This window comes from Homo sapiens, chromosome 7 (assembly GCF_000001405.40).
Source record: "Homo sapiens chromosome 7, GRCh38.p14 Primary Assembly".
NCBI lineage: Eukaryota > Metazoa > Chordata > Mammalia > Primates > Hominidae > Homo > Homo sapiens.
In genome coordinates, this window is record NC_000007.14 from 110,494,452 (window position 1) to 110,510,740 (window position 16,289).

At 34.8% G+C, this 16,289-nt stretch overlaps 1 long non-coding RNA gene across 1 annotated transcript in view; it reads right to left on the reverse strand.

Moving 5' to 3' along the window:
- Positions 1–16,289, reverse strand: part of LOC105375451 (uncharacterized) — a 173,872-nt gene that overhangs the window by 133,606 nt on the left and 23,977 nt on the right. The window lies entirely within an intron of this gene.

A 16,289-nucleotide genomic window follows, 5' to 3' on the forward strand; every position in this document is an offset into this window, starting at 1 on the left:
GGCTCCTAGGAATGACTCCCAAACAACATTGCAGAATAGTATCATCAAGGTAACTTCTACATTTGCTACAATCAGAAGCTGCCCCTGTAATTAAGATGTTGCCAGGATAGCCACTAGCTCCGGAACCATACTTATTTTTCCAGGGTTATCCCAGACTCAACAGATTCCAATTCAAGTCCCATGAAGGTACATCTAATTGGGAGATTTCATGTCACATCCTGAGCCCTAGCATTGAGGGGATTCTTACTTTCCAGCATCTGAAGTACAGATGGCAGACACTAGAAATAGAATAAATTGGATATTGAATGGGCCAATATCTACCACAATGTTCTACCCATATTTTGGTAATAAGATTGATGATTATTCCATCAGGAAATATTGTCTCTTTGACCAGTGACTTCCAGAGATTACACTCCCCATTCTTATTGGGGTATTTCCTGAGTAGTAACATGCCCTCCAAATTGGAAAGTGCAAGGAGGAACTTTAAGTTCAAATTTCCTACTCTAGCTCAAGAGATGTTATTTATGCAAGTAAGTGACATGAGAGGGAAATTTGCCATTTACCTGTGACTCCCATCCCCAGGTAACAGTAAATAGGTTCCGAGAGTTTATTTTTTAGCATAAAGGACCAACTACAACCTTCCTAGCATCTGAAAACTGATGGTCATGAGACTTGGTTCTAAGAGACAATAAAACTACATTTGCCTCAAACAAGTAAGCATTAGAAATCAGGCCATTGGCCTAGAAGTGTTCATGTATTCCAAAACCAGTATTTTTTATTTTTATTTTTATTTGTTTTTGAGACAGAGTCTCACCTTGTCGCTTGGATACATTGCAGGTGTATATATTCATGGGGTACGTGAGATATTTTAATACATGTATACAAAGCATAATACGATTTCATTCCCATCCATGTTGTTGCAAATGACGGGATCTCCTTCTTTTATGGCTGAATAGTACTTGACTGTGTATAACTACCACATTTTCTTTATCCATTTGTCTACTGATGGACACTTAAGTTTCTTCCAAATCTTGTATATTGTGAATAGTGCTGCAATAAACATAGGAGTGCAGATATGTCTTGGATATACTAATTTCCTTTCTTTTGGGTATAAACCTAGCAGTGAGATTAGATTGCTGGATCATATGGTTGTTCTTAGTTTGTTGAGGAACCTCCAAACTGTTCACCATAGTAGCTGTACCAATTTACATTATCAGCAACAGTGTATGAGGATTCTCTTTTCTCTACATCCTCACCAGCATTTGTTATTGCCTGTTTTTTTGGATAGAAGCCACATCTTAACTGGAGTAAAAAGATATCTCACTGCAGTTTTGATGTGAATTTCTGTGCTGATCAGTGATGTTGAGCAATTTTTTATATGCCTGCTTGCCGTTTCTATGTCTTCTTTTGAGAAATATCTATTCAGATCTTTTGCTCATTTTTAATTGAATTATTAGATCAATTCCTATTGTTTAATCCATTTTGATTTGATTTTTGTATACGGCAAGAGAAAGCAGTCTAGTTTCATTCTGCTGCCTATTGATATCCAGTTTCCTCAGTATCATTTATTGAAGAGACTGTTCTTTATTCAGTATACGTTTTTGGCACCTTTGTTGAAAATGAGGGTATGGATTTGTTTCTGGGTCCTCTGTTGTGTTTCATTGGTCTATGTGTCTCTTTTTATGCCAGTATGATGCTGTTTTGGTTACTATAGCTCTGTAATATAATTTGAAATCAGGTAATGTGATTCCTCCAGTTCTGTTCTTTTTGATCAGGAAAGCTTTGGCTATTCTGTGTCTTTTGTGGTTCCAAATAAATTTTAGGATTTTTTTTCTATTTCTGTGAAGAATGTCATTGGTATTTTGATAGCGATTGCATTGAATCTATAGATTGCTCTGAGTAGTATGGATATTTCAAGAATATCAATTCTTCCAATCCATGAACATGAAACATGGAATATCTTTCCATTTTTAGTGTCCTCTTCAGTTTCTTTCATCAATATTGTATAATTTTCATTACAGAGATCTTTCACTTTTTTAGATTTATTCCTAGGTATCTTATTTTATTTTTTTGTAGCTCTGTAAATGGGATTACTTTCTTGACTTCTTTTTCAGATTGTTCACTGTTAGCATATAGAAATGCCATTGATTTTTTTTTTTTTTTTTTTTTTTGAGTTGGAGTTTCACTCTTGTTGCCCAGGATGGAGTGCAATGGTGCCATCTTGGCTCACAGCAACCTCCGCCTCCTGGGGTCAAGCAATTTCTCCAGCCTCAGCCTCCCAAGTAGCTGGGATTGCAGGCACCCACCACCACGCCTGGATAATTTTTGTATTTTTAGTAGAGATGGGGTTTCGCCATGTTGGCCAGACCTGATAAAAAGTGATCCTCAACAAAATACTAGCAAACCAAATTCAACAGGTCTGTAATTTTCTTTCTTTTAATGTGTCTTTGTCTGGTTTTGGTATCAGGTTGATACTGGCCTTATAGAATGAGTTTGGAAGTATTCCCTCCTCCTCAATTTTTTTTTTTAGTTTAGTTTGAGTAGGATTAGTATTTGTTCTTTAAATGTCTGGCAATTTAAAGCAGTGGTGAGGCCATCAGGTCTTAGACTTTCTTTGCGGGGAGACTTCTTATTAGGACTTTGATCTCATTACTTGTTATTGGTCTGTTCAGTTTTGAGATTTCTTCATAGTTCAATCTTGGTAGGCAAAGCCAGTCATTTTTCACAAAATTCAGGTTTGAGTATGAAGGTGCTTAGTTTCAGGCACAGTCAATACAGTGCAAATGATTGAAGCTAAAGCCTGAAATATTGAGGGATATAAAAGAAACAACTTTAACACATGTATGTGAAGAGGCTATAAATGGTAACGTTTCTGGATCTTGAAGCAGAAATATGTAAAACAACTCTTATGTACATTTTGGACTTGTTGTATTATATTTTAACATGTTGTCCTGATGAAGTCTTAGGGTAAGACCATGACTATGAGTAGCAGTTGGAGCCTTTTTTGAATGGTAGAAACATTCCCAATATCAATCCTCTTGAAAAGAGATGGACTATCAGACAAGGATATGAAGCTCAGAGAAAATACTGTAAAGGAGAGAGCATGTAGTGCTGACCCAAAGGCCAAATTCAGTCAATAAACAGGTTCTATTCAACCAGCCCCATGTAGGAGCCCACAGGTTATTTTTTATTTTTTTGCTTTCTACTCTATAATTTATTTTATTTTTTTCACTGAGTTATTTATCTAGAAACAAACATTTCTAGATTATGATACTTCATATTTAAAAAACTTGTTTTCCATCTTTCTTGGAAGTTCTTGCAACCTGGGTCCCACATTCCGTAATGATAACAAAGAGATCTGAGACATTGCTCTCCACAGTTTGCTGGGAACTCACCACTCCTTATTGTCTCTTTACCTGGCACACTTCACTTATTTAGATTTTCTGACAGGTCCCTGTATGCATCTGAGTTGGTGATTTCTTTCTGAAAGTGTCAGCAAAAGGAGATCCCACCTTTTGTTAAGCTTACTCTCTTGGGCATGGCCTCAAAGGACTGCAGAATAGAACACCTATCTGGTAGAAGAAGTGAAGCTGGCAGAGAGCTCCGCAGGGAGATAGCCAATACACAGGGCCTGATGCATTGGGGGGCTCAATAAATTTATGTGGAAGGAATTATTACATAAAGCAAATAGAAAAATAAAAATGAGAAAAACAGACATTTTTAGTTGGTTAGTTAACAACTTCACTCATTTAAAAGGTGATTAGTTTTTCTTTCGGAATCTGGATTCTGTTCTTATTTGTAGAAAGTTTTATGTGTTAATTATTGCCTGTAATAAATAAAGCATTATAATAAGTGTTATGAGAATACACATTTAGATTAAATAGCACTTCTCCAAGAAGCTTAATCAAAACATATCTATAAAATGGCCAAAATTATCCCTCTTGAACTTTGTAGTAAATAGTAATTAAAAAATAATTCAACGGAGTTCTATTTATGCTACTTTTATTAAGACTAACCATTTGTTGGTTTTAAATTATATGCCTCCTTTTATTAAAATAAATAACATGCTGACATAAATTAAAATGCTTTTGAACATTACAAATATATTTAAATTTCACACTTTTCTGTTTTATGGTAGAAGAATTAGCCGAATCAACTCTTACTTGCACTGATGTGCAAAATGCAGAGTTTTCCTTAATGGAAAAGATAATAAAAATGAAGCAGCATTTTCCAAATATTAATTCCTACTACGATGCTTACATATCCTTGAGATTAATTTGAATTTAATCACAAGCAGTATAGTCATGGGTAAGAGCATAGATTATGAAGTCAAGCTGCCTACCTTGCGTGACTCAAAATGATCTTGAGCACGTCGCTTAATGTCCCAAAGCCCTAGTATCCCTCTGTACAGAGCAGGTCAGAATACCTATCTGAGTCATGGTAAAGGTCAAAAAAAATGACAAGTAAAGATCTTAGTACTTACTATGTGGCCACATAAGTATTCTGTAAAGTTACAAAATACTGATGAAGGTATCAAATAAATATTTCTAGGTCACTGAACAAGCCACCGAAAGTCAGATAAGAGATGCCAAAAATGCCTAACTAGAATCCTCTAAAGTAAGAGTGGTTTTGTTTTTTTCCTGGAGAGTTTAGAAAATACAAATATTTTAATACAATTAAAGAGTTTGTTGGTTTATTTTATTTTACTTTTCCTCTTTAAGTTTGGCCTCTGAATTTAATTTTATTTCATAATTAGGTAAAATATGTAGATAGTTCAAAAGTCAAATCTACAAAGGAAAATATATTGAAAGAAGTCAAACTAGCTCTGTCTGCTCCTCACAATAGTATCTATCTCTCCCTCTTTCTTAAACAATAACACACTATACACACAATTTTTACCGAGGTTGTTTTTTCTGAAGAATATACCGTGGAGATAGCTCTGCAGCAGTACATGAAGATATTTCTCATTCTATTTTATAGCTGCTTAATACTCCATTGTGTGTATGTAGCAGAGTTTATTCAACCAGTCTCTCGTTAATGAATATTTGGATTATTTCTACTTTAGCAAATAGTGCTGCGATGAATAGCCTTGAATATACATGAGAGGATCTTAGGTTGGATCTCTAAGATGATTTTTAACTTAACTGAAACTTGAAGACATCCTGTAAAGTTTGAGAATTGAAATGCATGAAATACTGAATTAATACCTAGATGATAGGCCTACTCTTGGCCTTGTAGGTTATTGAGACAGTATAGGAAGCTGTCTTTGCCTGTGCAGAAAATTACGTCATTTGCTGAAGTTTTTTGTTCTTTATCAGCTATTTGTTATTGAAGATAGCTTGCATCTGTCTTCAGTAAGATGTCAGGAAGCTTACTTAGCAGAAAGCTGAATACCATGAGCTTATTAAAATAAGTTTACATGGACCTTCATTGTATTTCTCCATTTTAACATACATAATGAGAAGAAAAATATTTTAAAGACGGTGTTTTCCCTACCCCTCCTTTCTTTCTCCAAACTGTTAACCACTTTGGTAAAAGATCCTTTTTTTATATAGCTTTATGAGATATAATTCACATACCATAAACTCCATTCATTTAAAGTCTGTTGTTTAGTGTGTTTTATCATGTGTACAGACTTGTACAACCATAACTACAATCTAATTTTAGAACATTTTTGCAACCTCAAAATGAAAACCCCTATCCATCAGTAGTCCCTCTGTATCTCCTACCAGCCCTGGATAGTCATTAACCTACCTTCTGTCTCTATAGATTTGCCTGTTAGAATCAAACAATATGTAGCCTTTGTGACTGACTTCTTTCACTTAACATAACACTTTCAATATTCATCAGTATTTTAACAAAAATCAACACTTCATTGATTTGTATGGCCAAAAAAAATTCCATTCCATAGATAAACCACATATCCTCCTACCCCTAGACCTTGGCAAACAATATTCTACTCTTGGTCTCTTATGAGTTTGACTGCTCTAAGTACCTCATATAGGTAAAATGATACCATATTTATCTTTTTGTTACTGGCTTATTTTACTTAGCAGAATTTCCTCACAATTCATCCATGTTGTAGCATATGTCAAAATTCCCTTTTTCCTTAAGGCTGAATAATATAGGCCATTGTAAGTGTGTGTGTGTGTGTGTGTGTGTGTGTGTGACATTTTACTTAGCCATTATTTGTCTGTGGACACAGGTTGCTCCCATGTTTCAATTATTGTAAATAATGCTCCTATGAATATGGGTATACAAATACCTCTTTGCAAATATGCTTTCAATTATTTTGGTTATACACCCAGAAGTGGGATTAATGGAACATATGGTAATTCCATTTTTAATTTTTTGAGGAACCACTATACTGTTTTTCACAGTGGCTATAACATTTTGCATTCCAACAACAGTATACAAGAGTTTGCAATTTCTCTACATACACACCAATATTTGTTATTTTCTTTTTTTTATAATAGTCATCTTAACGGGCTTGAAGTAAAATGCTTTGTCTGCATCAATTGAGATGATCATGCATTTTCCCTCTTCATTCTGTTAATGTGGTATAGTATATTTTTAGATTTTTGTATGTTGAAACATCCTTGCATTCAATTCCAAAAATAAATTCTACATGCTCATGCCATATAATCCTTTTAATACATGGTTGGATTTGGTTTGCTAGTATTTTGTAGAGGACAAACATGGTATCAATGTTGTAAGGGATATTGGTATGTACTTTTCTTTTCTTATAGTGTCTGTCTTAGTTCATTCAGGCTGCTATGACAAAATGTCATAAACTGGGTAGCTTATATTAATAAATAGCAATTTATTTCTCACCATCCTGGAGGCTGGGAAGTCCAAAATGATGATGCTGTCGGATTCAGTGTCTGGTGAGACCCTGTTTTGTGGTTCATAGATGGCACTCACTGTGTCTTCATTTGGTGGAGGTGACAAACTATCTCTCTGTGGTCTCTTTTATAAGGGCACTAATCCCATTCATGAGGCCTCCACCCCATGACCTAATTACCTCCCAAAAGTCCTGACTCTGAATACCATAACCTTGGGGGCTAGAATTTCAATGTACAAATAGGTTGTTAGGTTTTGATTTCTAGGATTTTGTCCATTTAATCTACATTCTAAAATTTTTCAGCATGCAATTGCTCATAGTACTCTTGTATAATGAGTATACAAAAATCATAAAGGGGAGACATTACAACTAATTCTACAGAAAAAAATTTTTATTTTTATTTTTATTCTTTAATTTTTATTTCTATAGAATTGGTTGTAATGTCTCTCCTTTGTGATTTTAGTAGTTTGAGTCTCTTCCATTTTTCATTAGTTCATCTAGCGAAAGATGTTAACTTTGTTAAATTTTTCAAAAAACCCAACTTTTGGTTTCATGACTTTATCTTCTTTCTATTCTACATGTCATTTATCTTTGCTCTAATCTTTATTTCTATTTTTCTGGTAGCTTTGAGTTTAGTTTGTTCTTTTTCTGGTACCCTAAGTTGTAAAGTTGGGCTACTGATTTGAGATCTTTTCTATTTTTGAATGTGAGCATTTATAGCTATAAATCTCCCCCTTAGCACTTCTTTTGTTGCATCTCATAGGTTTAGTATATTGTGTTTTCATTTTCATTAATCTCTACATATTTTATAATTTCCATTGGTTGTCTTTGATCCATTGGTTGTTTAAGAGTATGTTGTTTAATTTCTTCAATTTTGGATACTTTTATCTCTTTTATCGATTTCTAACTTTGCTTTGTTGTGGTCAGAGAAGATACCATATATAGTATTTATCTTGTAAATATATTGAGATGGTACTTTTGGCCTAACACCTGGTCTATTCGGGAACCCAGTGAGCACTTGGGAAAAATGTGTATGCTGCTGTTACTTTGCAGAGTGTTTTGTACATACCTGTTAGATCTAGTGGCTTATTAAGTCCTATGATTTCTTATTTTATTCTGTCTGGTTGTTCTATCCATCATTAACAACAGGGTGCTGGAGTCTCCAACTACTATGTAGAACTGTCTATTTCTCCCTTCAGTCTGTCAGTTTTTGCTTTATATATGTGTATATATAGATATATATGCTTTATATATATATATGAAGGCTTATATTACATACATGTTTATAATTTTTATACCTTCTTACTGTTTTATTAATATATTTATTAATATATAATATCCTTCATTATGTCTTGTAATCTTTGCTGATTTAAAATCTATCTTGTCCGATGTATAGCCACCCTTGCTCTCTCGGTTACCAACTGTGCCAAATATCTTTTTCCATTCTTTTACTTTCAATCTATTTGTGTCTTTGGATCTAAAATGAATCTCTTGTAGACAGAATATAGTTGGAATATTTTTTATCCATCTTGCCAATCTGTCTCTTGATTGGAGAGTTTAATGTATTTACATTTAAAGTAATCACTTCTAAGAAGGGACTTACTTCTGTCATTTTGCTGTTTGTTTTCTATATGCCTTACAGTTTTTGAGGTCACTTTCTAATTTCCCCATGTATGCAGCTGCTTTTGAATGCCGTAGTCTTTGGTGTCTGATTCTCAGAAAGCAAGAAAAAAAAAAAGAAGAAGGAAGTAAACAGGGCACTGGGCTTAAGTCCCCTGGAAGCCACTGCAGCTAGAGGTGGAGGAGTTTGCAAAAATTACAGGAGGTGCAACAACAATGAGTACCACCTCTTTGACTGTAACTCTTTTGACTAAGTCCTTTTTAGCCACTCTGGCTCTCCCAAGTTGTGTGAAGGTTGCTCTAGGAACATGTATGTGTACAGCTGTTTGTCAAGGGGTTGGAACTAGGAGATGAGTAACTGCTACTGTGCTAAGAGTTGAAATTTGTCCAAAACTAACCACAATTTACCATCCAATTCTTCCCCTGAAAGTTGCAAGCCTTTAATAGACTTTACAGTTCCAAAACAGTTATATCAGATTCTGTCAGTGCAACTGCTGTCTAGGTAAAGAGATGGATTCCTGGTATTTCCTACTCTGCCTTCTTCCCAGAATCCTGCCATATTAAAGTCTACTTTGTATGACTTTTGTATTGTCACTATTAGTTACAGCTTGCATGACATATCTTCTCCCATCATTTTACTTTCAATCTATTCTTGTCTTTGAATCTCAATTTATCTCAAGTATTGAATCTCAGTCTTTCTCATGTACAACCTATAGTTCAGTCATGTTTTCTTAATCCACTCTTCTGTCTGCCTTTTCATGGAAGGTTTTTGTGTATTTATATTTAATATAATTACTGGTAAAGTAGGATTTATGTCTGCCATTTTGCTATCTGTTTTCTATATATCTTTGTCTTTCTTGTTTCTTCTCTATTAGTTCCCTCTTTGGTTTTTGAAGAAATATTTTTTAGTGTCCTATTCTAATTCCCTTGCTGCTTTTACTATATTTTTTTAGTTATTTTGTTAGTAATTTTCCTAGGGATTACAATTAGCATCTTAACTCAATCTAGTTTATACTGATACCTCCATTTTCTCCTCCCTCCTTTTGGTATCATTGCTATACCTGTTATATCTGTATACATAATAAGTCCATCAACACATTTTTATAATTATTGTTTTATGCAGTTGTCTTTTATATCAGATAGGAGAAGAAATGTGTTACCATAAAATATATTTATACTGTTGTTTATATATCCCTATGTAGTTACCATTATCAATGCTTTGTACGTCTTCATGTGGATTTAAACTACCATTAAGTGTCCCCCAAGTCTTGACTCCTTTATATTTCCTTTAGCTGTTGCTTGAAAATTAAAGATTATTTTTGAACTTTTCCCTCTAAAAGAAACCAGATGTTACTTTCAACGTTCTGCTTAAAAATCTCCTGAGCCAAGTCTATCGGTTACTTAGGTATATCTTATATTTTCCACATAACAGCAGGTAACACGTATCTACCACTACATGTAACACTACAATAACAGGTATCTACCACTACACACAGCAAAAGTCCCCTTTCCTCTAGCTTTCAATAATATGTTACTCCCCAACAGCCTCCATAAGGATTTCTACCAAGACAATCCCCTTATTACAAATATCCATGTAACTTTTGTATTGTTAGTACCAAGTGTATTGGTACCAGGTATTGTCGGCACCAGCAGCAGTGTCAAAGAGAAGTGGCTTATCTATAACAGTCTATGAAATGGAGCATCCCATGTGTGCCAAAAAAATTATACATGTGATCATGGAATAAGGTCTTTTCTAGGGATGGAGACAATAAACCATAAAAATGTGATTTATTACTACTAATGTGACATTAAATGTATCCCCTGCATGGCAAGCAATAGGATACTTACTTTAATAAGTACAATAAATATTGTTTGACTTACAAAGATTCTTCTTTGTTGAGATAAGATAATTAGTTTGTTCTATGGGCCATTATTTCTTCAAATCTTCACAATTATCATTAACAAAAGTGGATAAGTTAAGTAATTGAGAAAAGTTGAAAAGGAATAGGAAGGCAAAAAAAAAAAAAGAAAAGAAAAAAGAGAGAGAACCAGACAAGGTAGAGTTGGCACTCCTAGATGGTTTTGCTCAGCAAAGGCAATTTCCAAGGAATCTCTTTATTCAACTCTCTATTCATAACTCGCTGAAGGTTGGATAAATAAAGAAGTCCCAGAAGTTTGAAGAAAGAAAAGTTAAGTAATAGGGAATAGGCTTTTAAAGTAAGTTTCAGTTTAGATCTGCAAAAGGAAAGAAGAGCTAGGGAAAAACTCTGGTTCAATTGAGGCCTAGTTTAAAATATACAAGTTTGAGCCTGGAGAGACTGATAACCTGAAAAATAGGAATTTTTCCTTAATTTCTATATTTTGATGTCCATTTTGTATTTCACAACAAAGCACAGAATGCTCCAAAAATATTACCAAGGAAGGCCTTCAAAATGCCTAGAAAATAAGGCAAACAGGAACCTCTCCTTGGACAGTTCAGAGATGTGGGAGTTAATCATTTCAATCCAAGGAGGTGTCTAAGGAGTATGATACTGGTTTTTCTCACCTTATCTATCTAGTACTGGACTTATGAGGAAAACTCCAATATAATGAAGTCACTCAACAGAAATTATTTTGATCCACTGAAATGTTCCAAGAACCTGGGTCTATTTGAGGATATCAGAGTTTATTTAGGAATGAAATAGACTTGTAAAGACATCATTATAATTCATTCTAATAAGTACCATTATATAAGAATATGCAGTGTTAAGAAATCACACAAAAATGGTAACAGAGCTGCCAAGAGTTTGGCAAAAACATAGACTCAATTTGAACTGAATCCTGACAAATGAGTTCAACTTAAAAAGAAATGAGGCAGATCTATATATATTGACCAGCAACATTGTCCAAGGCATACTGAACAGCATGAAAGGCAAGTTACAGAACAAAATGTGTATTATGTTCTTTCTCCCGTAAGAAAAATATTGTACTTCATGTGTACACTTACATAAGTATGTATTTATACATATGAAAATACATTTAGGCATATGTCTAAAACAACATAACCCAACAAGTAATAGTAGTTACTTCTTGAAAGGGGAGGGGAGGGGAGAACATAGGGGCACTATAACAAGATTCCCCTATGCTCCTACATTTATAAACAATTAGAAATTTTTTCAGCATATAACTGCACACATTATCTTCACAGCCACCCAGTTTCAGTCTTCCAGGGGTTATCATTTGCATTGAAGTCTAAATGAAGAGCTTGCTTGCAGGGGCTGTGCAGTATATCGTTCACATAAAATACCAAGTGAATGATGCCCCAGGAATTGTGAGACTTGTCCATGATAAGTGGAGTCACTGTTTTTCAAATTTCCGTGGCCTTAAAAAACAAAGTCTCATCAAGTAGTGAGGATATAGAAGAGAAGAGGCAGTGAAAATAGCAGGCCCAAAGCACAGCTTACAAGAGAACTTCAAGTGTTCTTGAAAGTGAGTAGTGAGGACAGGCAATCACAGAAAATGAATCTCTAAATATAGGTCTGGGTCATGTTATGAAGAAATTTCAACTTTTTTGTTTGGGATATGTAATCAAGAAAGTGACGTGGTCTGATTTGATATTCAGAAAGATAGCTGGCCACAATGTGGAGTTTTAGTGGGGAGAAGTGGAGCAAATGTGGTAGAAAGAATGGTTAGAAAGCTGTTGCCATAGGGGAACAAAGATGAGGATAGGCACTAAGAAATAGTGGTAGAGATGATTGGGATAAGTCAAATTTAATCAATTTTAATAGATAATTGAATGTAAGAAGTGACAGAGATGTCAAGGATGACTTCAAGACCCCAAATCAAGATTTCAAGCAAGATATCTGAGAAAATGAAGGATCACGCTGACTTGCATGCTAAGTCGTGGAGTTCCTGACCTAAATCATATCTTGGGTCAGGAATGGTCTCAAAGCCTCAGGTGGGGTCGCGCCTGCCAGTGGGCACTCACTAATTGGTCCCACATTAGATGCACTGAGTCAGATAGGTCATTGCATTGTGTCATAAGCAGCTTACATTTCTCAGTCTTATTCCTAAAAATATTATAACTTGGTCAAATTCCTTACTAAAGTGTGTCTACAGTAGTTCCTTAATCTGACAGTCATGAAATCCTTTAAAAGAAACAGCACATTTCACTTGATTGAACTTATTCTCCATAAACTAATACTGCCTCTTACTAATATGTTATTTCCAATAACTCAAAACCCATTTAAAAGTTATTAAATCATTTTGCTATATATTTACATTAGGATTCTTACTCCACAATTTTCCAAATTATTCTTTTCCTATTAAAAAAAATAGAGCAGGATTTGCCTATTTTCTGCCTCCGGAACATTTCTTATTCTTTTTGATTTATCAAATACCAACAATCATATCTCCAGGTTTTCTGGAGATTATGTATATAAGACATCTGCATCCTGAACTTAAGATGCACGAGTGAGATCTTTAGGACTCTTACCTTAATATTCTGCATTCATTCCCTGAGGCAGATATAAATTTAACTTATTTGAAACACAGCATTAGAAAGCCAGTTTGTCTGGATTCCAATAAGCAAGCTGGAGAGCAATAGACGATGGGATTAGGGATGGGGAAGGGCCAGATCATGTAGGCAAATTAGCATAAACTGAAAAACTAGGCATATCTAGAGAGCCATCAAACCATTACATCATTTCAGTTCTGTCTGAATAAATGAGCAATCAAGTCAACTCTCAATTTTATACTCCCATGCTGGTTTGCTCACTATGCATATACCTAGCATTAGATAGTAACAATAACATTAAATATTTATAGAGGTTTTTTTTACTAAGTACCAGGTGCTGTTAAGTTGTTTACATACCTAATCTCATTGATTTCTCATAATATGCCTACAAGCCAGTATATTAGCATTCACTTAAAGAACAAACTCCATTCTAGCTAGTTTAAATGAAGAATTGTTTCATTATAGAATATTATATAGCTTGCATAATCATGGTAAGAGTTGAAGAAACAGATTCAGAGTTGAGTTTAAAGGGAACAGTTCCAAAAGCCACACCATAAAATCAATGCTGCCTCTTCTAAGATCAGAAAGCCATTGGTGCCAAAACTAACACTGGTTAGGAAGTCACAACAGCCAGGTGGCTGCCACAATCAGAGAACTTCTATCAACCAGAAGCTGCTATAGCTGCCAGCTTATGAATGTTCCATGCTAGCTACATCTGCACTAGCAGAATGGATGTTTCATGTCCTGCCTCTTGACCTCTACAAAGCAAATGACTAGACATGGTGAACTCTGCTTAATCCTACCACAGAACAAGCTAAATGCCTCTACTACCTCTTTACCAGAAAAAAAAAAAAGCAAAAGCTGCAAAAATACATCATCTGCCTCACTTTAGCCTTTCAAACCTCAAGACAGTTCATTGTAACTTATTCGGACCCATAGCTGCAAGAATGAGAGTTGTAGTGCTTTTTAATTAACCTCCTTAGTATGTAATTACCAGAAAACAAAATTCTCCCATTATAAATGTAGAGTTCAATGACTTTTGAGAAATTACAGTTATGTAGCTAATTTTCAAGATGTATGTAGAACACAATCAAAACATAGAACACGCTCACTGCCCTAAAATGTTCCCTGATTGTAGTCATTTGCTTTCACGCTGCTAAAAAGACATACCCAGGACTGGGTAACTTATAAAGGAAAGAAGTTTAATTGACTCACAGTTCCACATGGCTGGGGAGGCCTCACAATCATGACAGAAGGTGAAGGGGAAGCAAGACAGTTCGTACACGGCAGCAGGCAAGAGAGAGCGTGTGCAAGGGAACTCCCCTTTATAAAACCATCAGATCTCATGAGACTTATTCACTAGCATGAGAACAGTATGGGGGAAACAGCTCCCATAACTCAATTATCACCACCTGGCCCCACATTTGACACGTGAGGATTATTACAATTCAAGGTGACATTTGGGTGGGGACACAGCCAAGCCATGGAAAAAAGGATAATCCTTCCCAGTGTTCCTTCCCAATCATTGTTCCTTCCCAGTCAATTATTGCCTGCCATGACATGCCCCAGACAACCATAGATCTACTTTCTATCACTACAGTTTTGGCTTTTCCATAATATTATATAATACAATTATATCTTACACAGTCTTGTGTCTGGCATTTATTCTTAGCATAAGGCTTTTAAGTTTACATGCTGTTGCATAAATCAATAGTAGTTTGTTTCTTTTTATTGCTGAGTAATATTCAGTCACATGGAAATAACACAATTTGTTTATCCATTAACCTAAACGGACATTTAGATTGTTTCCAGTTTGGGGCTACCAAGAATATAGTATTATGAACATTCACTTATAAGTCCATAAACATATGTTTTCATTTGTAATGAATGAACTCCTAGAAATAGGATTGTTGGGTCACAAGTACACATATGTTTGTATATTTAAATTTATAAAAATTTGTCAAACTATCTACCAAAGGAATCATACCATTTTGCATTCCCATCAGCAATGTATGAGATTTGCAGAAACTTTATATCCTTAGCAGAACTTGATATTGTAATTCTTCCCCTATTCAAGCTAGTCAGTGTGTGATATGTTCCAATTTAATTTGCAATTTCCTAGTGATTTATGATGACGAATTTTTATGGCATTTTCATATGTCGGTCACATAACTTTTTGTGTGACGTATCTGTTCAAATGTTATGTTCATTTTTATCATGTTATTTGTCTTCTTAGTATTCTTCTGAAAATGTTGATTATATATTCTAGATAGGCGTCCTTTGTTATATAAATGATTGACAAATATTTTGCTCCAGTCTATGGTTCGTCCTTTCATTTTCTTTCAAAGAGCAAAAGTTTGGATGATTTATCTTTTTTTTTCTTTTTATGTTTCATGTTTTTTCTGAGTTCTTTCTAAAAGACCTTAGCCTAACCCAAGGTCACAAAGTTTTATCTATGTTTCTATCTAGGGTTTTATCTCCTATGTTTAAATCTCTGATAAATTTTGAGTTAATTTTTTTTTTTTTTTTTTGAGATGGAGTCTCGCTCTGTCCCCAGGCTGGAGTGCCGTGGCGCAATCTCGGCTCACTGCAACCTCCACCTACTGGGTTCAAGCCATTCTCCCGCCTTAGCCTCCCAAGTAGCTGGGACTACAGGTGCACACCACCACGCCCAGCTAATTTTTGTATTTTTAATACAGACGGGGTTTCACCATGTTGGCCAGGATGGTCTCTATCTCCTGACCTCATGATCTGCCCGCCTCAGCTTGAATGTAATATAAAGGAAATTTTGAGGTTCATTTTTGTGAATATGCTGTCCAGTTGTTTCACACCATTTGTTGAAAAGATTATCCTTTTTTCCATTGAATTGGCTTCGTATCCCTGTTCAAAATCGGTTGAATATATATATTAATGGGTCTATTTCTGGACTATATTCTGTTCCATTAATCCAGATCAGTGGTTCTCAAAGTGTGGTCTGACTCCCAGAGATCCTTTCAAGGGTCCTTGAACTACAATTTATTTTCATAATAATACTAAAACATTATTTACTTTTTTCTCTCTCATTCTCTCAAATGTTCAATGGATGGACTTTTCTAGAGGATTATGTGTGATATTACAGCAAATGTAATGCAGAAACAGAAATGAGAATCCAGCTGATAATAAAGAGCTATTTTTAAAATTTGCAAAAATATAAAATAATGCTACTTTTCTCACTAATTTGGATGTGCATCTGGGAATTTACAGTTATTTTTATGAAAATGTATAGTTCAACAATGAGATTATAGTTAAAGTGCACATTTAAAATAAATAGATAAAATTCTATGTTTAAAA